Below are 26,676 nucleotides of genomic sequence, written 5' to 3'. Positions count from 1 at the left end.
ATACAAACTATGAAATAAATATGTAAACAATGAAAATCACAGAGATTTTGTACAATAGTTTCATAAGACAGAAGTAGAGTTAAAAATGTACTATCAGTGGTATGCTGATAAATGTTTAACAACCAACTCTCTGGGGGAGGGGGAAGCCCTACTTTGTAGCATTTGCCAATTTCCATGGTTAATATGCCAATCTTGACCAATTTCAAACTAATAAGATGATGCTAACCCTCTTGTGAAATTTCTGAAACTTTAAAACTCAGCTCTTGTGAGTCCATAAGCTCTGGCTATAGCAGACCACAACTATGCAGTATAGAGGAGTTGACAGCTGGCTGAAATTGACAAGGTGATGAGGAAGATGACTTTCACAAGCATCTTGGAGATGAGCCAGGAACCAAAGCGAAGTAAGGGAAGAACATTCCAGAGAGGAGAGATGCAGGGAACAAAAGATGTGCTGTGACTACATCACAGTTTTGCAGTGCTCACACCACACCACAGCTGTGACTCACATTGAGGAAAGCATTCTAAAGAAAGACTATGCACTCTTTTTTTTTTATGGTTAATCCACGTGTGTTTCTAAATATATTTCCATGGCAAATAGATTACATGTTCAACAAGTTTGCTGCAGACCTTCAGAATCCTACCACCCTCTGCCTGGATTGTTGCACAGCCTCAACCTGGTCTTTTTGCCCATATGTTCTACCCTGAAATCTGTTTTTCATGCAGTCTCCTGACTGCGCTTTAAAATTCTGGCACCTGTGTGCTTAAAACCCTCACTGACTCCTTTTATCCACATGAGAAAGTGTACACAGGAGAATCCTGCTCTGTCTTCTTTTTGCTGTCCACTGAAAATTCCAGCAGCGCTAAACTACTTCTTTTTTTAGGCTGTTATGCCTTTCTCAGCCTGTTTGTCCCACCAGGAATGCTTTCCCATCCTCACCTTATCACTCTGGTGTGACCTCTCCCCAGTTGTGTTGAGCACTTCCAGCACATCCCATCGATACCTCTATCACAACCCTATCCACCAGAACTACCTCTGGAGACATTGTCTCTTCTGCTAGATGGTATACTGTCCTAGAAGATGGATCCCAACTATAATAATTCCTCATTATATCCTAGCACTTAGGGCAGTGCCTGATTGTTTAACTGATTATTTACTGATTATTTAAGTACCTTCTTAATTCTAGGAACCTTCTAGGTAAGAGAGCTACAAAGATGATAATAAGAGACACTTTGCCCTTCTTGAGTCTTACATGCTAAGGATGGACCTGAAAACAAAATAATTATAGCAACATGGTAAGGCCACTTGACCTCCTTGAGTCCCAGTTTCCTCTTCTATAAAATGGGTTTAATAATACCTTTAGGATAGTTGATAGAGAGATAAGGAAAGAAAAATAGCACTGTGACAGACATATAGAAAAAGCTCAATGCTTGGCAGATGATAACGACAAGGACAAGGCTGACATGATGAGGAAGGTGACTATAATGACAACAGTGACCTAGAGGTGCTGGGATATACCAGGACAGCCCGTAGAGAGATAAATGAAGTTTCATTGTAAGTGCCATGATAGAAGATTGAATAGGATGCTATAGGGCATGGAGAAGGAAGTAACTGATTTTACCTGGAGAAATAGGGGACAGCTTCTAGGAGAAAGTAATATTTAATTCTAGAAGGTTGCATATGAGTTCTTTCTTTCTCTTTTCTTTTCTTTCTGGAGTTTTCCCTCTTGTTGCCCAGGCTGGAGTGCAATGGCGTGATCTCAGCTCACTGCAACCTCTGCCTCCTGGATCCAAGTGATTCTCCTGCCTCAGCCTCCTGAGTAGCTGGAGTTTTGGCCTCCCAAAGTGCTGGGATTACAGGTGTGAGCCACCGTGCTCGGCTGCCTATGAGTTTTCTAGCTGGACAAACACTTGGGGGATCATTTACTGATGAAGCCTTTGGGGTTTTTATGAAGAATTGGCTCTCAACCAGAGGCAATTTTGCCCCCCCTCCCCAGCCCCGCCCAGAAGCCATTTGGCAATGTCTAGAGACATCCTTGGTTGCTACAACCGAGATGGGGATCTACTTACACAGCCCAGCCCCTCACAACAAAGAACTGTCTGGCCAAAAATGTCAGTAGAGCTGAGGCTGAGAAACCTTTTTATAAGGAATTAGTAAAGTAGATCTAATCATGAAACAATTTAATACAATCAAATAATAGTTTCCTACTTAAATGTCAACCTCCTCTGCAAGCACTGTGCTACGCTAATTTAATGATGGAAAGGAGGAGACTGGTAACTCTGGGAAGTGACATAAGACAACAGTCATTCTTAAAAATTAATCCTACTATAAGTTACATTCCTTCATTTGAAGACAACTGTTAACAGCAAGACATGTAACCTTTACAAACCACTGAGTATGTTTCTCTGTAAAAGTTTCTTGAGTTGTTAGGTGGCCAATGGTCTGTTTTGTGTCAAGTGACTTGGCCTTTCTTTCCTAAGGATTGCAGGAGAATCATATTTTTATGGCCTCAGTGCTAATGGAATGCATGAGACATCACTATTTTAAATTTTTATTTCAAATCTCAGTCCAAAGTCTGAGACGTTATGAGACCAGTTTCTGACTTAACTGTTCTCAGTTGAGCCATGGAACATTCACAACATCACCTCTTTAGGAAATTGTTTTCTTTTTATTAGGAGTAAATGTCTCTTGCTGTCTTAAGGCTTTAAAAACACCCAGAAGCCATTTGCATTTTACAGTTATGGGTTAAAATTAATTACACTTAATGCTGGTTGAGATTTAGTTAGTATATAGGGTGTCTCAAAGTCTTAGTACAGTTGCTTCCTTTATTTCTTCACTGGTTCATTTCATTTCTTCATTGTTTCATTTGTTCCTCCAAATTCTCACTCATTTCACTGTTTTTTATTTCTTATTTTATTTTTATGTTTAACATTTGTGGGTACATAGTAGGTGTATACATTTATGGGATACACGAGCTATTTTGTTACAGACATGCAATGCATAATAATCATATCAAGGCAAATGGGATAGCTCTCATTTCAAGCATTTATCCTTTGTGCTACAAACAACCCAATTATACTCTTTCAGTTATTTAAAAATGTACGATAAATTGTTGTTGACTGTAGTCACCCTGTTGTGTTATCAAATGCTAGGTCTTATTCATTCTATCTGTTTATATTTTTTGTACCTATCATTTCACTGTGTTAATTGGTGACAGGCATTGCTGCAGCAAAGATGAGTAAGACATGGACCTTATATTCTAGTTGGGGATTGAGATAAGTTATAATAATAGCCAGCATTTATTTTATTTTTATTTATTTATTTATTTATTTATTTATTTATTTATTTATTTTTATTGATCATTCTTGGGTGTTTCTCACAGAGGGGGATTTGGCAGGGTCATAGGACAATAGTGGAGGGAGGGTCAGCAGATAAACAAGTGAACAAAGGTCTCTGGTTTTCCTATGCAGAGGACCCTGCGGCCTTCCGCAGTGTTTGTGTCCCTGGGTACTTGAGATTAGGGAGTGGTGATGACTCTTAACTAGCATGCTGCCTTCAAGCATCTGTTTAACAAAGCACATCTTGCACCACCCTTAATCCATTTAACCCTGAGTGGACACAGCACATGTTTCAGAGAGCACAGGGTTGGGGGTAGGGTCACCGATCAACAGGATCACAAGGCAGAAGAATTTTTCTTAGTACAGAACAAAATGAAAAGTCTCCCGTGTCTACCTCTTTCTACACAGACATGGCAACCATCCGATTTCTCAATCCTTTCCCCACCTTTCCCCCCTTTCTATTCCACAAAACCGCCACTGTCATCATGGCCCGTTCTCAATGAGCTGTTGGGTACACCTCCCAGACGGGGTGGTGGCTGGGCAGAGGGGCTCCTCACTTCCCAGTAGGGGCGGCCAGGCAGAGGCGCCCCTCACCTCCCGGACGGGGCGGCTGGCCGGGCAGAGGGGCTCCTCACTTCCCAGTAGGGGCGGCCGGGCAGAGGCGCCCCTCACCTCCCGGACGGGGCGGCTGGCCGGGTGGGGGGCTGACCCCCCCACCTCCCTCCCGGTCGGGGCGGCTAATAGCCAGCATTTATTAATAGCTCTTATGCTACATAGTCTTATAAGGGCTTCAGTGTGGTATCTTTTCTAATGCAACAACCCTATAAGGTAGGTCCTGTTATTAGCCCCATTTTAGATAAGGAAACTGAAGCACAGAGAAGTTAAGTATCTCACTCAAGATCACACAGCCTGTAACTGGCAGCGCCTATGCTCACTGCCACTGTGCTACATCCTTATCACAGTTCTGGACCCTAAATTCTCTCATAGACACATTCCAGGGTGCTCTGGGAGCCCAGAGGGAGGGGCATCAGAGAGCACTGGGAGGACAGGGAGGCATCCTAGAGGTGGAGATACTTAGGCTGGCCATTGAAGGAGCAGGGTGTTAGGCTGACTCACAGGAGGTGGGTGGAGCACGGAGATGGCATCCTAAGTGGAAGGAAGAGCACGTGCAAGGGCCAGGAGTGGGGAGCACCATGGCATGTTTGAAGAACAGTGCGATGGACTGGATGTTTGTGTTCACCTCAAAATTCATATGTTGAAATCCTAACCCACAGTGTGATGGTATTATTAGGAAGCATGGCCTTTGGGAGGTATAATAATTAAATCAAGAAAGTAAAGGCCTCATGAATGGAATGAGTGCCCTTAGAAAAGAGGTCCCAGAGAGCTCCCTACCCCTATCCACCTTGGGAGGACACAGTAAGAAGTCACCACCTATGAATCAGGCTTCACCAGATCCTGAAACTACTGGTACCTTGATTTTGGACTTCCCAGCCTCCAGAACTGTGAGAAATAAATTCCTGTTGTTTATAAGCCACTCAGTTTATGGTACTTTATTATAGCAACCCAAACAGACCAAGACAAATAATAAGTAGTTCAGCAGAACCTGAGGCAAGGGTATATTCACAAGTATGGTGGAGATAATGCTGGCTTATCTGCACCTGCTATGAACAGCCACTTTTGGCCATATCCTCCATACCCTGGGAATGGTCTCAGGCCCTGGAAGCTGGTTTGGAGCTGTTTGGGCAGGAAATTGCAGGCTTCTGAGTACCCCGAGTGTGGTCTAGTGGGGGGCCCAGGCTCTTGGGGAGCATGCCCCTTTGGACGTTCAGATTCCTTGCCCTGGAGTAGCCAGCAGAGGGCCAGAATGGGAGCTTCTAACATGCAGTGCCCAGGGGAGGGGCTCCTGTTGCCCAGGTCTAAGGGTCAAACTGCTGGAAACACATCTGGCAGTGGCTGAGCTGGGATTTAAAACTAGATCCATCTGAGAATGTCTCTTGCCACTGTACCATGTTGCCTTGGAAAGGACTCTTGGGAAGACTGTTTACACTGAGGATATCCCAACCTGTACAGATCTTATATAAACACTGAATATCATCAATGTCACTAGCATTCCAAGAGTCCCTACACTTCACTGTTGTTTGTACTTTTGCACAACTGGAATGTAAACTGTGCTTATTACAATAGGCCCACTCAGCCGTGTCCTGGCTATTTTTCAGCTGAGTTTAGTTAAATGAGAGAGAAATGCTCATCTCTTCTACTGTCCCTTACTTCCTACATCTATTAATAAGTAAAAGTAAAAAGGCAAAGCATAAAGTTATTTGTTCTCAGTAAGAATCAAAATGGAGCTTAGCGTTTAAAAGCATATTATATACATGAACTCATTAGCTCTCCACAGGCAGAGATTCCTGGTCTCTAGACCTACTTGACAGGTGAGGGAACTGTGGTTTAGAAAAGTTTAGTCTTGCCTAAGGTCACCCCAGGGGGAGTGGTAGAGTTCATGTTTCAACCCACCCTTCTCGATCAGGTGGTCTTCTGTGACAAATGCAGTCTGATTTTGAAGATTCTGCATAAGCTACTTGCCATATTGAGAAGGCATAAATGAAATAAATTTTTATCCCAGATGAACTAAATTACCTGAGGACTGATGACTTCATATTTTATCAATATAACTTAGCTAGCTTTTTTACTTAGGCCTTTTTTTGGCTGAAGACAGTCAATTTGAGGTGTGGGAAGGTTTGTGGGTGATACATGTACCCCTAACATCACAATGTTAGGTTATCTGACATTCTAAACACAAATTTGGAAGCAGCTTATATTATTCTGATATTCTCATTTCATTTTTAGATTTTATCTTCTCAAACACAAGGAAAGAGTTCGCTTAAGGTATTCTATTTAGACTTTCTCAGAGGGTGGTAAAACATGCATACACCAGCTTGTTTGGTTCTCAGTATTGCCAGAATATATGTTTGAGGGGAGGGTGTGCCTGGATGCATATGTGTGTTGGGTGCCTCTGTGCCTATATGCATGGCTGTGGTGTATTTGTGTGTGCATTCACATGTATTGAAGGATTTCTAGGTGCCATCTTCTTCTCAGAGATTGACGAATGTAATCCTGTTTAACTTTCAGCACAGCCCTGGTGGGAGGTATAGTTCTCTCCCTTTTATGGTTGAAGAAACATCAGTTCAGAGAGGGTAAGGTAAGGGGCAGACTTGGGATTTGAACCTAAGTGTTCTGATATCCCAGCTCTTTCCACTCCATGTACAATAAGTACAGATCTATTTATTTGTCCAGATAGGACATGATGATAATACAACCTGTTGGGGCAAATCTACACACTGACCACCCAGTTATAAAAGGCGTGAACTTCCCAAAAGATGAAGGGGGCTCTGGAATCACAGAAACTGTTTTATCATGCTATGGTTCGATGTTGATTGTGGTTTTGAGCTCACAATGGCACTATGAGTCTTTCTCAGATGCTGATGGTAGCGAGAATTGAAAATGGAACAGAGATAGAAACCTCAGTCTGCGAGTCAAAGACTTGGGTTCTAGCTTCAGGTCAGTCACTAATGAAAACACATTACACTGGTGTCATAGTTTCTAGAAACATTCTCTCATGTAATCATCACAACAACCTTATGAAGTATAAATCATTGTGCTCCTTTTACACATGGAGCAACTGAGGCCAGAGATATGGTGCCACTTTCCTTGGTCATGCATCTGGTAGGTATCAGTGCTGAGACTTAAACCTAGATCTTTAGTCCAAATACCATCTTCTTTCTATCATGTGAGCTGCCTTTGCCTCAGAAACTTTCACACAAATGTTTTTATTCACAGTAAACCCCTTCTTTTGAAATCTAGAGTCCAGGAAACACCACTAGTGCTTATTCACTTTCCCTAGTCTTGTTTTGCACCTCTAACAAGCAATATGTCATGAGTGAGGAAACAGGCATGTACATTAGAGGTCATAACCCTGTAATCTCAACAACCATTTGTTTCCCCAGTCGCAGTGGCTTCCTTCTCCCACATTCTGACCACTTCATATCAAGTTATCAGGCCACAACAATATTCCAGAGTATTCTAATGGTCATATAAAGGAAATAATTGTTGAGTGTTTAATTAATTAAAGATTTATTGAGTACCTACTACAATCCTTGCTCCTACTATGTGGGGTGGGGGTGGATGCAAGGCTGAATAAGACACATTTCCTCCCCTTCAAGAAACTTACAGCAATGACTGGACACCATTTTCACCACTTGGAAATGTTGGTGGAGGAATTGAAAAGACTTACTCAGTTCGGCCTGGTGCGACGGTGGTGCAATTTGCATTCCTATGACACGGGTTATCTGATTTACATATATCAGTCATACTGCACCCCACTCCAGGTACGAAATTCTGGTAATGCTCCTTACACTCGCAGTGAGACTTCAGTAGACAGGAAGAGAAAAACAAATAGGATCCTAGTTAGTTACTTCAGCTGGCATTCTTCTTTAATTTGTATTTTTATTCTTCCATAAAAACTCACTCAGAGTATGTCTGAAGTGTGGACTTAAACTAAAAATTTGTCAAAGTATCTAAAAGTAGAAATCATGTTTACACATGTCACCTGCTGGAAAGCTTATACTCCTTGCTTATAAAGTTTAGCTTCAATTTTCTTGTTTCCTAACCCTTGACCTCCCTAGCTCCATAAGTCCCAGTTTTAGATTGTCTATAGGTGAGCAGAAATTGATGTCCAAATGGGAGGTATTATTGCTTTAGAATAATGGTTTCCAACCAGGAGTCTCAATCTAGGACACACTGGACAATATCTGGAAACAAGTGTTTTTTTTTTTTTTTTTTTTTTGAGACAGGGTCTTACTCTGGTTGCCCAGGCTAGAGTGTAGTGATGCAATTTTGGCTCATTGCAGCCTTTACTTCCCAGGCTCATGTGATTCTCCCACCTCAGTCTTCCGGACAGCTGGGATTACAGGTGTGGACCATCATGCCCAGCTAATTTTTTGTATTTTTAGTAGAGACGAGGTTTCGCTATGTTGCCCAGGTTGGTCTTGAACTCCTGGACTGAAGCAATCCATCTGCCTCAGCCTCCCGGAGTGTTGGGATTACAGGAATGAGCCACCATGCCCAGCCTGGAAACATTTTTGAGTGCCATGATGGGAGGAGGCGGTGCTACCAGAGGTCAAGAATGCTGTTAAACACCTCACAATGCACAAGAAAGCCCCTTCCCACAAAGAATTATCCAGCCCAAAATGTGAAAAATGCTGAGGTAGAGAAACCCTGCTTTGGAATCATGCACGTGCTGCTTCTGTGTGAACAATGGAGAATTTCTAAGACTTGAAAATCTGTCTTGGAACCCATTTTCAGAGATAAAGCATATCTTTTATCTCACATGCGAGGTCTTGACATTCATGGCATAACATTAATTTTCCCATAAAGACCCTCATTTTGCAGATGGGAATTTAGCCCCTTGAATTTTTCTGCAATCCTTCCCCAGAAATCGATAGCAGAAAAATGTTGCATAATATATCCTTTCTCTTTGGAGGCAAGGTTGGGTGGATTCTCTGCAGGGAATTCTAGGAATATTCCCATCAGCTAGCATCCAGGTGATTAGACTGCATGGCTGTTTGGGTCAGGCACTGAGCCCTTCCTCCTACCTGTGCAGCAATACCCTTCTGTATGGACACATTTCCTTCACTGAAGGCTTGATGTGCAGTTATGGACACAGAAGGCATCCACTAAATAAATACTCAATGGACGAATGTGCTATTAGGGCCAAGGCTCTTTCCACTGGATTCCTCAGTGAGGGTCTCCTGACCAGATTTTTTATCAGTCAAGGTCCTGATGTCATTTAGAGGGACAGTGTCTCTCCCCAGAATATTCCCACTGCTCCCTATAATCTATCAGTGCTGCCTGACATTTTATCTGTTTCATTCGTTTGGAACAGGGTATTTTTGGTTCTAAGAGCACCTTTTAAATTAGAAAGCCATTGCAGAATGGAGGATTGCTGGTAAAAGTCAATCATATGTTCAACAGTTAATTTGTTAATCTAATTTTGAATTATGTGTATATTTTGCCAAACACCATATAGGACTGTGACAGGAGAGAACGTAAGACAATTAAGTTTGGATGGGGAGCTGGGAAAGTGTGAGTTTAAAGGATAGACTGGGTGAGCAGGCACTGATTTCAGGCTCTGAGCACATGGAGGACTGTCTGGAGGGGAAGACCAAGCGGAACATTGAAAGGGAGAATTGGGATGGCATAGAAGACAAATGATACCTGTGACACATAGTGGCTTGTCAAACTTCTAGATACATCAGTTCCCTGCATCATTTGCTCACCTGTCCAGGCCCATCATATTTGCACACTGTAGACTTTGTAGGGCAGTTTCCAAAGTTAATTTGGCAGGGGTCCACAGGCAAGCACACTTGGCCATCCCCACGGTAGCCTTCTTGGCATGTACAACTGTGCCGATTTGGTCCCAGGTACGTACAATGAGCATGAGGGTGGCAGATTTTTCGTAAACATGGATTGATGGCTTGAGAGGCAACAGCAAAATGAGAGGCAGTTAGTTAACGGGGATGGAGAAGGAAAACTGAACCGTGAGCAACAGTGGATCAAAACCTCAAAGGCAACTCACAGTTTTCAAAGACAAACATTTCCTTTCATTTCCCCCTGAACCAGACAGATTTATGTATGGCCATCAGAAATTGTACAGATATTGTGTTGATATATTAGTAGGCCATTTTGTGTGTGTAGTTAAATATAAAACAGCATGAAAGAAAACATTAACACTTACAGAATTTATAATATGTACTAAGCCCTGCTCTAAGAATTTGCTATGTATTAACTCATTTAATCTTTACAATAATCCCTGAAAGTAGGTACCATTATTATCCCCATTTCATAGACAGAAAAACTGAGACACGGCAGGTTAAAGGTCATGTAGTCAGTAGAAGGCAGATCTGGGACTGAACCCAGACGGTCTGGCTTGAGAGTCCATGTTTTTAACTGATACATAATACAGCTTTTTATAAAGTGAATAAAATCAAAAAGATAAAATAAGAAGCATTAAATGTTCTAACATTGATTAAGGTGATATGGAAACATAAAAATCTCTATATGTGCTTTCATAAGAGAAGGAGAAGCTGCCATTTATTGAGCATTTTGCTTGGCACCTTTTATATACGTTTCACTCAACTACACAGCGAGAAATAGAAATGGTCATTGTGTTAAGGAGGTTGTGAGATTTTTTTTTCCTGTTAAATAACCTAAACATCTCAATGAATAAACTAGCAGAATCTAAATTCTACTCACGGTCGCAGTATTTGCCATCGCCTCGGTAATTGGGAAGGCATTTGCATTCCAGTTTGTTTTCATCTTCAGTGGAAGGCGAACATCTGGAATTTTCTGGGCAGAGCAAGGCTGCACATTCAGGGATGGCTGCATAGGAAAATTGTTGAAGTACTTGCATTAGTAGAATAACCAGTTCTTAAGACCCCCAAACTGCAGTATTCCCTTTTATTAAAAAGCAATACAAACTCATTGTAATAATTTAAAAAATACAGAACACGTTAAGTTAAAATTGTCTTCTTCTTAGTCTCCCAAATTTACCGATATCATCAATCAATAAAATATATTAATTTATAACATTTATTTGTCTGATTTTGTAACAAAATAGAATCCTGTTAAAATATTTAGCAATGTAATTTTTAATTTAACGATATATTATGAAAGTCTTTAAGGATCTGCCTTGATCTCTAGTAACTGCATAGTATTTCAAAAGGTAGGTGTGACGTAGATGGCTGTCAAAAGCTATGAAGAGTCTGACATCAGCCAACTTGCAAAGTGAACAAGTTGGGCTAATAAAGTTTCATGGATGCTGGTAGAAGATACAAAACTTCTGGGTTAGAGTGAAGTACAGCTTAATACTTACAGCAGGGGCAGCAGCCAGGGTATCAGCATTTTGGCACCAGTTTTTCCAAACCTCAATTCCCATGGGGCAATTCAAAGAGGACTAGACTGAGACATGTACATGCAGTGGGTTTCATTATAGGAGGTGAGCCCTGATCTTAGGGTACCTATTTTTTTTAAAAAATGGGCAATGTATTATTTAGGGACAAGCAGGAGACAGAAACCACATAATTATTTGAACAGGGAAAGTTGTACTATAAAGGATTATGAACAATTAAAATCATGAAAAATCAGCTAGTGAGAGTTTAAAATAAAATAATTCTAAAGAATAAAGAAACCAAACACCGCATGTTCTCACTCATAGGTGGGAATTGAACAATGAGAACGCATGGACACAGGAAGGGGAACATCACACACCGGGGACTGTTGTGGGGTGGGGGGAGGGGGGATGGATAGCATTAGGAGATACACCTAATGCTAAATGACGAGTTAATGGGTGCAGCACACCAACATGGCACATGTATACAGATGTAACAAACCTGCACGTTGTGCACATGTACCCTAAAACTTAAAGTATAATAATAATAAAATTAAAAAAAGAATAAAGAAATAGCAGGTCTATAAAGAGCAACTACTGTACTAGGGCTGAGACAAGTACCCAACGTATAACCTTCTTCCCTCCAGGCTGAGATCTGAATACCACTGGAAAAAGCATGGCGTTAGTCACTGGATAGCAAAGTTGCAGAGATGCCTTGACAATATTTGCTGGAAATCTGCTCTCTGGGGTGGCTGGGAGGTCATGCATGGGGAGGTCACAAGCCTTGGAACTCACTAGGTGCCAAAGGAATCTGTTAGCCAGTGGGCGCTGCTGGCAGCAGCAGCTAAGAAGCCACCTCTCTGTCATGCAGTGCACCTCTGTGTGTGGTTCAGGCCTGGGCAGCTCCAGACCAGCTGTGTGGGATTCAGGGGATGTGTCCAGCTCTCCAGATGACCAGCTCTTCAGGGGCCTTGCTGTGCATGGGGCTGAGGAGAGGAGTACCGAACAGCCTTCCCCTGGGCTGAGGCATGGGCCTGCGCAGTCTGGGGCTCCTGGCTGTGCTGCCACTTCCTGAGTCAAGCACTGGACAGTGTGCAGTGGCCAAATGCTGGAGGGAGCTGAGCTCTGCAGGAACCCGGCACTGGAGAAACCATGTGGGGCTAAGAAACAGAGAAAAGCTGTTTTTCGGGAGCCTGGTGAGTGAGTCAAACCAGAAACAGGGAGAGAGCCCCGGCTTCCTCCTCTACAGTCCTTCTGGCACTCTTCATTGATAAGGCTTCACGTTTTGCTAGCTAGTGAAGGAGAATCATTTATAAAGCCCAGCTCCATTATCACGAGCAGGCAAAAAGGGTGGCTTTGGAGCTGAGAGGCACTGGCAGTGAGCATGCCTGCCCTTTGCTCCTGAGGGAGATACTATGTTTTCCAAGTCTGTTCAGTATACAAACATCCTTGAACAGATGATCTGGAACAAAGAGCAGTCAGTGTATTGCTCTCAAGATGTGCACACATGTGAGAGATGCATGGAGAATTGTCTCCCAACAGTGGCTAGTTGAGTAAAATAGTTCACAGAGACTATTCCCCCACCCCTTCCATAAACCCGAAGTTTTGGCAGAAAGTGGCTGCTCCTTCAGGATTACATTTTCCACCCCACTTTACGTCCAGGAAAGATCACGTGACTAGTTCACTCTGATGGAATATTGAGTAGAGGTTTTATATATTTTTCCTGGACTTTCATAAGCAGGTGCCTCTCCATCTTCTCTTTCCCATCTGTGATGGCAGGAAGCAGAGAACTCTGAGGTACTAGAGAATGACAGAGTCACAAGATGGAAAGATCTGGATCCCTAATCACCATGTAGGGGGAAGCTGGCGCCAGCCAGGAACACCCACATTGGACTGTTACATGAGTGAGAACTACACTTCTTTAGTGTCAAGCCAGAGGTTCCCAATAATTTTTTCATGGTATCCCGACATCAAAAGAAACACCGAAAAGATTCATTTATTTAGTTGTTAGAATCACTTAGCAGCCATTTGAAAAAGTGACATGCTTAATAGAAAAATGTCTATTCTTAAGTAACCACATTGACCTACGTATAAGATATGTGAGTGTGTTGGACACTGCACAACTTCTCAAACTTTAAAGTTTGATACAGATTGTAGACTGGCACCCTCATTTCAGTCACATTGATTTTCACACGGTACTTGCCTTTTATCATAGCAATCACTGAAAATGTACCTTTGCAAAGATATGATGTCACTGCAAGGAATTAGTGCGACCTCATGTTGAAATTGTGAACCAACTCAAGCTAGCAGTTCATGTGGTATCTGACAGATGTATCTCTGTGTTTCCCTCAGAAATTTAAAATACCAATAGTAGCCAGTAAATTTGATTGTAGTACCTTGGGACACCTTGGCGCACAATTTTAAAACCATAGTGTTAAGCCACTGAAGTTTTGTGTTTATTTTTTATAGCAACTAGCATTATCCTAACTAGTATAGGATGTACCACAACTTATTCAACCAATTTCCTACTGGTGGGAATTCAAGTTGTTTTCAGCTTGTTATCCTCCTACAAATAGCATTTCCATAAATTTATTTGATCATATATGCTTACCTTTGTCTAATTCCTCTCCTCTCCCGGGGTAAATTCTTAGAATTGGGGACACAGAAGCATACTATAAGCATACCTTCAAATTTAGTAAATAAATTTCTCCCGTAGGTTGTAGGAATCCACATTCTTACTGTCATTTTTCTCATACCCACAGATGGGTAAAATTTGTAACATAGTGGGCAAAAATAAAAAAACAAATGAAAATAAACCTCCAGGACTCCAAATATGACTGAATTTTAATAAGTATGTATGTAACGATTAGTGGACTTAGCACCTTTTTCATGTTTATTGCTGGTTTTCATTTCTTCTTTTTGAGACGGAGTCTCAGTCTGTCACCCAGGCTGGAGTGCAATGGTGTGATCTCGGCTCACCACAACCTCCACCTCCCGGGTTCGAGCGATTCTCCCGGGTCAGCCTCCTGAGTAGCTGGGATTACAGGCGCCCGCCATCATGCCTGGATGATTTTTGTATTTTTGTAGAGACAGGGTTTCACCATGTTGGCCAGGCTGGTCTTGAACTCCTGACCTCAGGTGATCCACCCGCCTCGGCCTCCCAAAGTGCTGGAATTACAGGCATGAACCACCAGGCCCGGCCTGTTTTCATTTCTTATTCTGAAATTTAGATTTTGGACTTTACATGAATCCAATTTTTTGTTATAAAAATGTATCTGCCATGTGAATTTTAAATATTTTTGTCCTAGTCTCTTGTCATTTGGCTGGACAGAATTATTATTATTTTTTTACTTGGAAGCATATCTATTAGGGTTTTCCCTTAGGCTGGCTTCTGGACTGGGTCTCCTGCCTTACTGAGAAGGCCTCTGCCCAGGAGTCCACTGCACACTGGCAGGAGTGGCCAAGGAAGGAGGCTGACTGAGGACCACAGAAGGCCTGTCCTACCCACTTGCCTTTGCATTTGGACTGGAGGCTTTCATGGCTGTCCCAGCTACAGGAAGAAGGCAGAGGCTGAGTTTATTCATCCTGTTACTACCACCGCTCACGGCATCTCAACCGCTTCCAATAAAATGAGTTTGCATTTGCTGACTTTCAATCTCACCCAACCCTTTCATTTTACAGGAGACTAAAGTCCCGAGGATAAGTTAAATGAGGCTAGTGGCAGAGGCAGAATGGTCGATTTCTTAACATCTCAGCTCCCCGGCTCTGCCATCCTGTGAGTTTCTCCTTCACAGGTCGATGTTAAGTTTTGCCAGTAGAGGGCGCTGGCGGGACACGGTGGGAGGCGGGAACTCCTCTTTCTGCCTCCAGGGTGCAGTGTGCTGCTGCTGCTGCGTGTTCCTTTGCTGCTGCTGCAGGGTCTGTTCAGGGATGCTCTGCCCCAGCGGTGCACCCAGAGTTCCTCAGTGGCTGACCTTGCATCCTTGGCCTGGACCTAGCGACTACCTTCCCACAGCCCTCTCGACATAGACATTGTGTATTCCAGGATTTTGCCTGAGAGGCCCCTGATTTCCTGTGCCTCACCCACCAGCCTCAGCTCCCCAAGGCCCTGGAGGGTTGCCCCATGCCTGCTAGGTGACTGTGGTCCAGTGCTGGCCTGGATAAAACAGCAAACTTCTCGGCCACCCACCACACCCTCTCCAACAAGGTTTAAATCCAGCCTTGGGGACGGCCACCCCATTCCAAATTTCTCCTTCCTTTGTTATGCTCCATCCTCTCTAGAGTTGTGTTTGCATTTTTACAGCTGCTCTCCTATCATAGCGTACTAATTATCCCTATTAAACTTCCCTTGTTTAAATCACCCCTTGGTTTCCAGCTCTTGATTGGACCCAGTATAATAGATTGTTTTCAGAATTTCCCATGGATTCAAATGACTTGAGTCCCAGCTCTCCTAGTTGTGTGGCCTTTGGTGAATCACTCAGCGTTGGTGAAGCACCCTTTCCTCTTCCTTAGGGCTGTTAATGTGTTCCGCCTTTGAGGCTCATAATTGAGAAGATGCTGTATCTCCTTTACTAGGTGACTCACTTGTTGAGATGGGTTGTGTTGGCTTCCCAGTCCCGGTGTCCCTCTCTCCATTCTACCCTTCACCTGGCCTCCAGTTCAACCTTCCTAAAACACAGCTATAGCCTTGACACCACATTGCTTCTGTTCTCTCTCTTCCTCCTCCTCCCTTTCCCTCCTCTTCTTTCCTTTTCTCTTCTATATTCTCTTTTTAATTTCTAGTTTCTTTCCAGAAAACTTTTGGTAGTACCTTGCCCCTGCAGAGAACCAGTAACAGATACAAAATTGAAATGCATACATTTGTGCCTGTTTGATCTGGTGTGGCATTAAGGGAACTAGCAGTACTTACGCTTGTCACACTTGGGGCCAGTGTACGCAGAGTAGCACTCACAGGTTCCATCGCCATCTAGTCCACTGTTGCACACCCCATGCACACAGTTGCACACTGGAGACAGAAAGTGGGGGATTTTTATTACCTGACATAGACTGTTGCTAAACATTCTGGAAAGCTAGTGTTTTTAGATCATCTTTGCTGAGACTCTGCATGTTGTTTGAACTTTGGCTCCTCTCTCTTTTATCAGCACCAGGTTTTTTTTTTTTTAAGTTTAACATATGGATAGGAATGCCTACTTCCTGGGATTTCTATAGAGTCAAGTAACATAATGTATATAAAGCATATGAGGCATATCATGTGCATTGGAGTTCTTTTCCCTGCTCTCAAACTATTTACTTCATCTTTGGATACCTCAACAAGAGAATTAATTTAGTGTCTTATATACACCTGTTACGTTTAAAAGAGAAAAGCTACTACTAACTCAGTCACTGTTGGTAGCAGATATCTATATAAATAAGTCCTACCTATTGATGGGGTGATGCAAGGATAAAAAAAGGAAAATATTCCAAAGGGTCTAGAATAACCATGCCATATTTTCTAGCTTGATGTTTTAGCCCAGTGACAGATCATTTCAGGGATGATAAATGAAGGGCATTTGAAATGAATGTGAATGGTCAACTCTTTAGTTTGTGGTTGGTTTGTAGCAAGATTTACTATCAGGCTAGGCCATTGTCATCCTATGGCCAGCCCTGTCTGCAGCATGTTGTATTAGTTTTCTATCACTGTCATAACAAGTTCCACAAACTTAGTGGCTTAAAACAACACAAATTTATCTTATAATTCTGGAGGTGAGAAGTCCAAAATGTACTCATTGAGCTAAAATTGATGTTTCAGTTGGGCTGCTATTCCTCTGGAGGCTTTAGTGGAGAATCTTTTCTTTTGTCTTTTCTAGCTTCTAGAGCCCATCTTTATTCCTGGGCTCATGAAACCCTTTCTCCATCTTCAGGGCTAACAATGGCAGGCCAAATCCTTCTCATGCTACCATTTCTATGGTTCTCTCTTCTGTCTTTCTCATCCACTTATAACAACTCTTGTGATTACATTGGACTCACCTGGATAATCCAGGATACTCTCCCTATCTTAAGCCAGCCAGTTAGCAACCTTAATTCTACCTGCAACCTTAATTCTCCTTTGCCATATAACCTAACATATTCATAGGTTCCAGGGATTAGGACATTTTGGGGGCTCATTTTTCTGCCTACTACACGTGTCTTCGGTGCACGTAAGCCAACTTAATGTTAGCTCAAATGAAACATAATTAAGAAGATGCACCTGCTTAAAAACTTAACCAGAAATACCAGCAAAGCAAGGATGAATAAAGTTTAAAGTATTCCAAACATCTAATAAGCCATCAAATCCTTTGTTTTCTCTGTCTCTGTCTCCCACCTTGATCTTCTGCTCTTCATCTCCACTGGTGCCATTCTTGTTGAGGCCTTTATCATGTTTTGCCTGGACTATTGCAGTAGCATGATACCTCGTCTTGCTATTTCCAGTTTCTTGCCTCTCCATTTCATTCATTTCATTTGATTAGCAAAGGCATCAGGGTGACCTTCCCCAAAATATCTCAATGACTCTCAATTACCAACCAAATAAAATTTAGATTTCTCAGTTTGGTAAACAATGGCCACTCCAACCTGACTCTAACCTTGATAAAATTTCATTTTCATCTTTCACCACTTTATTTTATACATCTTAGATTCTTAGCATGTGGGATGATTCATTCACTATTCATCTTCCTTCCTTCAAAACACTTATGGAATACATATTATGTTCAGAGTACTGCACTAGAGATTAATGCCCAAAAATAAACAGGACAAAGTCTCTGCCATCAAAGAGATCAAAATCTAATGGCAGAAGAAAACAGCCAATCACAATGCACTGGGATAAATGCTATGACATGACCAACCAATGGGAGCTGGCCAGGAAAAGATAAAGTGGGGTTGGCCCAGGGAAGACCATGCCAGGTGGAAGCAGCAGGAAATGCATCTTGCACGTTCACACCTCCAGGCTTTTCCTCTGCTGTGCTCCCTTTTGTGTGCTAACTGGAATCCTTCAAGGCCAGCCAAAGCCCCCACTTCTGTGTTGCCATCTCAGTGGTCTCCAAACAATCTGTGCTCCTCTGGCTCCAGCAGCACTTTCTTTGTTCCGTGTCCACTATTGCACCCTACGACAACTAGAGGTTTGTTAATGCCTGACAGCTGAAGACCACCAGGAGAGCACCAATGGTCAAACCAAGTCAGAAGCAAGGGTGAGCCATTCTGGGAGAAGTAGCAGTAGGCTCTTATATCAGCCAGGAGAGGCAGTTGCTGGGTAATTCTCATGGTTGTCCATTGTTGTTGAGTCTCTGTTCAGACATGATTATTCCCTGGCTTAGTTTTTGTCTTTTCCTCCATGGATATGGTGAGTCTTTTTTCTGATGGTGATATTCTGTGACATCGTTTATGCTCAGCAGCAGAACACCACAGCCTCTCTGGTAGCAACTAGGCCAGCAGCCAGGGGACAGCTGTCAGGGCTGCTGTTTTCTTTCTCAATCTGTGTATTTTTTCTCCCCTATTAGATTGGAACTGCTTGGAATGACCTCCCCACCTCTGTATTTCCCCACATCTTTTACGGTGCCCTGTAACAATACCAACAACTACACAACTAAATTTTAGATAAAGACATTGTCTGGCAGGGCCAGGATTAGGGTGAGGAGAGTGAAACAGGGTTGTGCAAGTGCAGAGCTGCATCCTGCTGTTATTTAGCATTTTGATGTTTTGTTCAATAATTTTTAAAGTATTATTGTCATGGGTTGAGTTTTGTCTCCCAAAATAATATGGTGGAGTCCTCATCCCCAGTACTTCAGAATGCCCCTATTGGGAAATAGGGTCATTGCAGATGTAATGAGTTAAGATGAGGTCATACTGGAGTAAGGTGAGCCCATAATTCAATTTGACTGGTGTCCTCATAAGAAGGGGAGATGCCACAGACATTAGGTGAAGAGGCATGTGAAGAGGGAGGCCGAGATTGGAGTGATACTGTCACAACCAAAAACAGCTGGGGCTACCAGAGGATGAAAGAAGCAAGGAAGGACCTTCTTCTAGAAGCTTCAAAAGGAGCATGGCCCTGCCAACACCTTGATATTTGACTTCTCGCTTCCAGAACTGGGACAATAAGTTGCTGTTGTTTTAAGCCACCCAGTGTGCAGTACTTTGTTGCAGCTGCCCTAGGAAATCAGTGCAGTTATTGGTCTTGATTACTGAGTTTTTTTGATGCCTCCTTAAATTTTGCACCCAAGGCCCCACACTTCTCTTTATTGAGTGCTTACTATCTATCAGGCATTTTGCCAAGTGTGTTGTCATGCATTATCTAATTTACCACATCCTTTGAGGTAGGTATCATTACTACCAGTGTATCACACATGAAAAAATGGGAGATAACTAGCTCAAGTAGTCCCTCAAATAACTGAAGAATTAAATTGGATTTGCAGTGTCATCCTCTCTTCAAAACTCAATTGACATTGTTTCTATTTTAGCCAAGCACTTTGATATCTACCTATGGCTGTGGATTTTTGGAATAAACAAGTTCTGGAGAGCAGTCAAGTTGGTTATGGAGATAAGTGGGGTGAGGAGGGAGTGTACTATGGGCTCAGTGGAGAAGATTCAATTCAATTCAAAAATATTTACCCAGCTCCTACCTAGTAGCAGGCACTGTATTAGGCACTAGGTATACAACATGTCAGTAATTGATAATATCTAAAGTCCAGGAGCTCACAGTGTAGTGGGAAGCCAGGCTCTAGGAGATACAGTGATGATTCCTGCCCTAATTGTTGTCATGCACCCAGTGGAGGAAGGTGAGGGGCACAGAGGGCTCCTGCTCCCAACTCAGATGCAAATTACAAGTGTTGTCCTTGTCACTAAGATTGCCCTCCTGGCTGTGTGGTATTGGCCCATGGCCCTGGCATGAGCCTCTCCCTTCATGCTATCTTCCACTACAGCCTCTATACTGGATTGACTGCCTGGCACTGGCAGCTTTTGGAAGCCTCTGACACTGCATTGCAGGCTGCCAGCTGCTGCCAGGAACATGCCCTTGGGAAGGAGACGTAAGTGGCAGAGGGTTTCCCAGATCATCATTGAAAGAGCCCTTGGTACTTGCTAACCAGTCTCAGCAAATCTCTAGAGACACATAAAACTTGGGTGGCGTGACTTTAAAGTGGTGAAAGCCATGGCCGTGCTGGTCAGAGGGATGGTATGCTCCTGTGACATGCCCCATAGCAGAGTAAGCTGCTCCCTCTCCTGTGCTCCCATAGGATCTGGTCTGGGCTGTGCACTCTGCATCATCACAGTTGTCACCCACATTTCCAGCTCCTTGGGACTGGGCACCTAATCTCATCACTCTTAGGATCCACTTCACCTGTCTGGTGTGTAATGTATGATGGACACTCACCAGAGGCAGACTGGGGCAGTGCTTAGGGGCCCAGGCTCTGGAGTCACATATGTGGGGTCAAATCCTGCCTCTGCCCCCATAATAGCTGCATGGCCTTGAGCAACCCTCTCTGCTTCTTCATCCGTAAAAGGAGAACCCCCACCTCCTTTGGAGAGTCATAGTGAGGATCCAAAGAAATCCCTCTGCACATGGTCTGACACACAGCAGGTGCCCAGCAAATACTAGTGACTCTTCTTAACAGTACATGGTTGTGTGATTGATTTGGGGATCATGTTAGAGAAAACGGGCTTTGCAATCTGGCTAGCTGGGAAGGAGGCACTGAGCAGGCTGGGGCACTGGCCACAGAGATGAAAATCTTTGGCTGGTGCAGCTCGAAATTATCTCTAAACCAACAAGCAGTCTGGTAGGAGAGTGCCCCCACAGAAGATTACAGCCAGTGTTAAAAATAAACTGCACCTAATAGAGCTGTCCTACTTACAGGCAGAATGGCCACCTCCCGGGACCAACATCTCATTGGATGACACAACACTGGCACCCAGTAGATGCCTGGATGAAAAGGTTTGCAGTCTCCATAGTCCTTGTCAGTGGGAAATGACCAGGCATCGCTGAGTCATTCATTCATCCATTCATTCATCCGTGACTTGCTTGCTGTTGGATTACTTTTGTCCTCACTTAATACTTCCATTGATTGAGTGCTTGTGACATAATACTAAGAGCTTTGCTGTGTTGTCAATCCCAAGAAATAGATGTTATTATTCCTGTTTTATAGATGAGAAAGGTTTAGGGAATTTAAATAGCTTGCCCTCGGTAACACAGCAATTAGGGTCTGTTTCAAACTATGGTCAGGCTGAGTTTAAAGCCTGTTCTCTTAATTGTTACGTCCTAGAACTATGATGTCTAATTTGGTAGCCACGAGCCACATGTGGCTATTTAAATTTGAATTAAATGATATTAAGTGAAATTTGAATTTTAACTCCTCAGTTGCACTAGCCCCATTTCAGGTGCTCAATAGTCATATGTGGCTAGTGGCTACTGTATGGGACAGTGCAAACAGACAATATTTCTATCATCACAGAAAGTTCTATTGGAATCCAGAGCTTGGAGGTTTTTCTCTTGGGTCTCAGTTTAAGTTTCCAGTTTTCTTATTTAAAAATTTAGGTATTGTCCAGTTAGAATGGCGATCATTAAAAAGTCAGGAAACAACAGGTGCTGGAGAGGATGTGGAGAAATAGGAACACTTTTACACTGTTGGTGGGACTGTAAACTAGTTCAACCATTGTGGAAGTCAGTGTGGCGATTCCTCAGGGATCTAGAACTGGAAATACCATTTGACCCAGCCATCCCATTACTGGGTATATACCCAGAGGATTATAAATCATGCTGCTATAAAGACACATGCACACACATGTTTATTGCGGCACTATTCACGATAGCAAAGACTCGGAACCAACCCAAATGTCCAACAATGATAGACTGGATTAAGAAAATGTGGCACATATATACCATGGAATACTATGCAGCCATAAAAATGATGAGTTCATGTCCTTTGTAGGGACATGGATGAAGCTGGAAACCATCATTCTCAGCAAACTATCGCAGGGACAAAAAACCAAACACCGCATGTTCTCACTCATAGGTAGGAACTGAACAATGAGAACACATGGACACAGGAAGGGGAACATCACACACTGGGGCCTGTTGTGGGTGGGGGGAAGGAGGAGGGATAGCTTTAGGAGATATACCTAATGTTAAATGACAAGTTACTGGGGGCAGCACACCAACATTGCACATGTACACATATGTAACTAAGCTGCACGTTGTGCACGTGTACCCTAAAACTTAAAGTATAAAAAAAAAATTTAGGTGTTGAGACCATCATTCTCCCTTTCACTTGCCCTTTCTCCACAACACTAAGTGTGAAGGGAGGATACTTCCTTTATTTGGAAATGTTGGGAATTTCCCTGCGCATCTGTGCTCATCAGTAACCAACACCAGTGTCTTGGAGATAACATGGGTCTTCTTCCTAATTTGTCATCTCCAGACAATTACTAGGCTTTCTTGGGAACTAAGCAACGCTGGATGCTTTATTTACTCCTTCCCATTTCAATATTTATTTAGCCTATGTGATTTAAATTCTTAAATGGCAGGGAAGGGTAAATTTGGGAGGAGACATGCTATTTCTATATAGTTGACTGATTACATTTTAGTTGCTGTCCTTTAATGTAATGTTTAACTTTAAAAACACACGGGACACCAATATCCTTTTTTTTTTTTTTTTTTTTTGAGATGGAGTCTTGCTCTGTCACCCAGGCTGGAGTGCAGTGGTGGCACGATCTCGGCTCACTGCAACCTCAGACTCCTAGATTCAAGTGATTCTCTTGCCTCAGCCTCCCAAGTAGCTGGGATTTCAGGTGCGCACCACCACACACGGCTAATTTTTGTATTTTTAGTAGAGATGGGGTTTCACCATGTTGGCCAGGCTGGTCTCAAACTCCTGACCTCAACGGATCCAGCTTTAGCCTCCCAAAGTGTTGGGATTACAGGCGTGAGCCACTGAGCCCAGCTCCAATATCTGTTTTAAATTTGCTTTTGCTAACAGTCTTATGAAATAATCTCTATGGGACAGTGGGTGAAGAAACACCTATGATTAGGGGATGCTAGGGAATAATAATCATAACATTTATTATGCACTTATCCCATTAAATCCTCTCTAAAGGAGGCAATATTATTTCTATCTTTACAGATGAAGTCACAGATAGCATGCTTCATAAACTTACCTATGTCTCCATGATTAGCAGGCCTAGAGCTGAAACCTTGTCTGAGTCTAAAGCCTGGGTTCTAAAACCATGCTTCTGGGTCAGGAGAACATCACTGGAGCAAGCTAGATAATTCATTCATTGATTCACCTAGTCATATACTCACTCACTCATGTATTCATCCAAAAACAGTGTAGTGAGTGTCTACCAGGCAGGCAGCACGTAGAAGGTACTGGAGATAAAGATACCACAGCACCTGCCTAAGAGGACCTTATGGATTAGAACAAGGCAATGCCTCTGCAATTGCAGATAAAACTTATTACAGAGTTTGCAAACTTATGGGGGTGGGATGTGTTGTGTGTGCATAGGTTTTCTTGCCAAAAATATTTGAATCGAAGCAGTTTTCCACTGAGTTTAATTTTTCCACGAAAGTCAGGGCCCAAGTGGTGTTGGCAAAAAGCTACCCAATATATTCCTTTTTGGGAGACGTGGATCTAGCAGACACTGTTTCTACCATGCCCACATTCTTTAGACCTTACTGACTGCGATTGTGAGCATTCCAGCTAACTTCCAGGATCCACAGCTCTTAGCCTGAGGGTTTTGTGTGAACCTTAGGACGAGCGCTTGGCCTGGGTGCTCCCTATAAACACTCTAAGTGGCAGGGAGTGAAAAACTCTCCCCACTTGACTATGTATATTAATTCCCTGTTGCTGCTGTAACTCATTGCCACACACCTAGTGTCTTAAAACCACACAAAGTTATTGTCTTACATTTCTGAAGTTCAGAAATCCAAAATCACTGTGCTAAAATCAAGGTGTTGGCAGTGTTGTGCTCCTTTTTGGAGACTCTGGGGAGAACATGTTTCCTTGCCTTTTCCAGCCTCGAGAGGCCACCCACATTCCTTGGCTCATGGCTCTTCCTTCTTCAAAGCCAGAAATTGGCGGATCGAGTCTTTCTCATATTTCGTAACTCTGACACTCCTCTTCTGCCTCCCTTCTCCATCCTTAAGGACCCCTGTGATTAACACTGGGCCTTCCCAGATAACCCAGGATAATCTCTTATCCTAAGGTCAGCTGATTAGCAACCTTAATTCTATTTGCTACCTTAACTTCTCTTTGCCATGTAAGGTACCATATTCCCAGGTGCTAGGGATTTGGATGTGGATGTGGACATCTTCAGGGAGCCGTTATTCTGCCCACCACACTATGGCTCCTTTCCCCTCAGGTGAGATGACTGAGCTGTGTGTTCTGCACCGACCCCCAGAGCTCCCTGGGGCATCAGGCTCCAGTGGTTCACAGTGGCACCTGGCTTAATAACATCCTGTTTATTTTCCCCATATTACTTCCTCACATCCTCGTGTTTCCTGGGATCACCATTCAAATAAACTAACTACTTGTTACTCAAATCTCTATCTCAGAGTCTACTTCTGGGGGCAGCCAAAAATAAGAGAGTGAACAAGCCAGTCTCAAATTTGTTTCTTTAATTTGGAGCAACAATCACTGACCACCTTAGGGAATTATTTGTGAACTCCCAAAAGGAAGGGAACCATTAGAATTAGGTGGGGCCCACGGTTTAATTGGAAGCCTATGGATCTATGCTGAGACCAGGATCCAGAAAGAGCCCAGAGAAAAGCTGGGCAGGCAAAGAACAGGCAGTGGTGGAATCCTAGAGCCTGGGGAGAGGGAATCATAAAGATGGGTGGAAGCATTTCCGGGGAGTAGCTGACTGCACATGCCAGGGCTGAGAACCTCAGGAAACACTGTCTCTGTTTTCAATGACTGCATTTAACAGCTTTGTTGTTTTGTTTTCTCTATGTAGACTTGGTTACACATGTTAAAGTGAACTAATCATGACTTGATAAGGACTCTGTACTTCCATATTTGAGTCCTTGTGGATGAATTGCAACCTAGCTTAATAGGTAGATGAGATTGAAAACCTAACTTAGGAGTATGCACCTGTAACAATAGCTGAGTTTTGGCCAATCCCAGCAGCCATACTTGGATCATTCATATACTGCTGAGTGTTCAAACCGTGTTCAAATAAGGCAAATGCCAAGCTGTAACCAATCCAGCCATTCTGTACCTCACTTCCGATTGCTGTATGTCATTTCCCTTTTTTTGTCTATAAATCTTCTTTCATCACATGGCTTCACTGAGTCTCTGTGAATCTGCTGTGATTCCAGAAACTGCCTGATTCATGAATTGTTCATTGCCCGATTAAACTCCTTTAAATTTAATTCTGCTGAAATTTCTTTTTTATCACACATAACTATTCAGTGTTTTCTCCTCAAGGAGCAATCTTTCTCATGGACTGTCAACCCTTACAAATGTGGTGATTACACAAAAATCAGACATACCTGATGAACAGCTGGGTCCAAATAAGTTGTCGTCAGCACAGGTTTCACAGGCTGTTCCACCAAACCCTTCCTGCAAAACACCCCAGGTGGTTGACATTAGACCCAAGGTGACCCATGGTACCAAGGAAGGCCTTGGATTTCCAACTCAGCATTTGTTTTTCAAATATATTTTCCCTCTGTGCCTATCCTGGAGCTTCTTCTTTCTGTTTATTTGTGTTATCATTGCATGCATTAATCCCCATGTCATTTTGTACTAAGGGTCTGAAGCTCTGCAGGAGAAAGCTGCTTTGTCAGTCCAAAGATATAAATAGATAGCAAGTGCTAGCAGCCATATCCCAACTTTGCCCAAGGGGGAAAGGAAAATGCTTTCAGTTTTGCATTTTTGTTTTGAGACTGAGTCTCGCTCCGTCACCCAGGCTGAAGTGCAGTGGCACGATCTCGGCTCACTGAAACCTCCGCCTCCCAGGTTCTCCTGCTTCAGCCTCCCGAGTAGCTGGGATTACAGGTGCACACCACCACACCCGGATAATTTTTGTATTTTTAGTAGAGACAGGTTTCACCATGTTGGCCAGGTTGGTCTCGAACTCCTGGCCTCAAGTGATCTGCTCACCTTGGCCTCCCAAAGTACTGGGATTACAGGCGTGAGCCACCTGCCCAACCTCAGTTTTGCATTTCTGAAGACAGTTGAGCTCAATCCTTTTCAGAAGGATTTCCTTGTATTTAAATCCCCCAGGGCTTGAAATGTGCAAAAAGTCACTTTCATGAGATAACGAAGAAATTCTTCAACTGGTAAAAGAAAATCTTGAACCGGTAAGCCTAACGGTTCACAAAGGATGCAGAGGATAGCACCATAAGGTTTGTCTGCTAATAGTGATTATTAATATTAACAATGACAGCAATTTCTATA

General features: G+C 43.0%; 1 protein-coding gene across 6 annotated transcripts in view; it reads right to left on the bottom strand.

Moving 5' to 3' along the window:
• Positions 1-26,676, bottom strand: part of STAB2 (stabilin 2) — a 179,447-nt gene that overhangs the window by 118,839 nt on the left and 33,932 nt on the right. For all 6 annotated transcript variants that reach the window (XR_007063104.1, NM_017564.10, XM_011538537.3 and 3 more), the window contains exons 5-9: positions 25,770-25,839; positions 16,188-16,283; positions 10,645-10,770; positions 9,669-9,865; positions 7,625-7,758 (exon numbers count right to left, since the gene is read on the bottom strand). Coding sequence is in view for 5 of the 6 variants with exons in the window: in NM_017564.10 (NP_060034.9) it covers positions 7,625-7,758; positions 9,669-9,865; positions 10,645-10,770; positions 16,188-16,283; positions 25,770-25,839 (623 nt within the window). In the remaining variant the exon portion in view is untranslated. The remainder of the gene's footprint in view (positions 1-7,624; positions 7,759-9,668; positions 9,866-10,644; positions 10,771-16,187; positions 16,284-25,769; positions 25,840-26,676) is intronic.

The sequence above is a fragment of the Homo sapiens genome, chromosome 12, assembly GCF_000001405.40.
Source record: "Homo sapiens chromosome 12, GRCh38.p14 Primary Assembly".
In the NCBI taxonomy this organism is placed as follows: Eukaryota; Metazoa; Chordata; class Mammalia; order Primates; family Hominidae; genus Homo; species Homo sapiens.
Note: the sequence above shows the minus strand (reverse complement) of the source record. Positions and strands in the feature narration are given on the sequence as shown.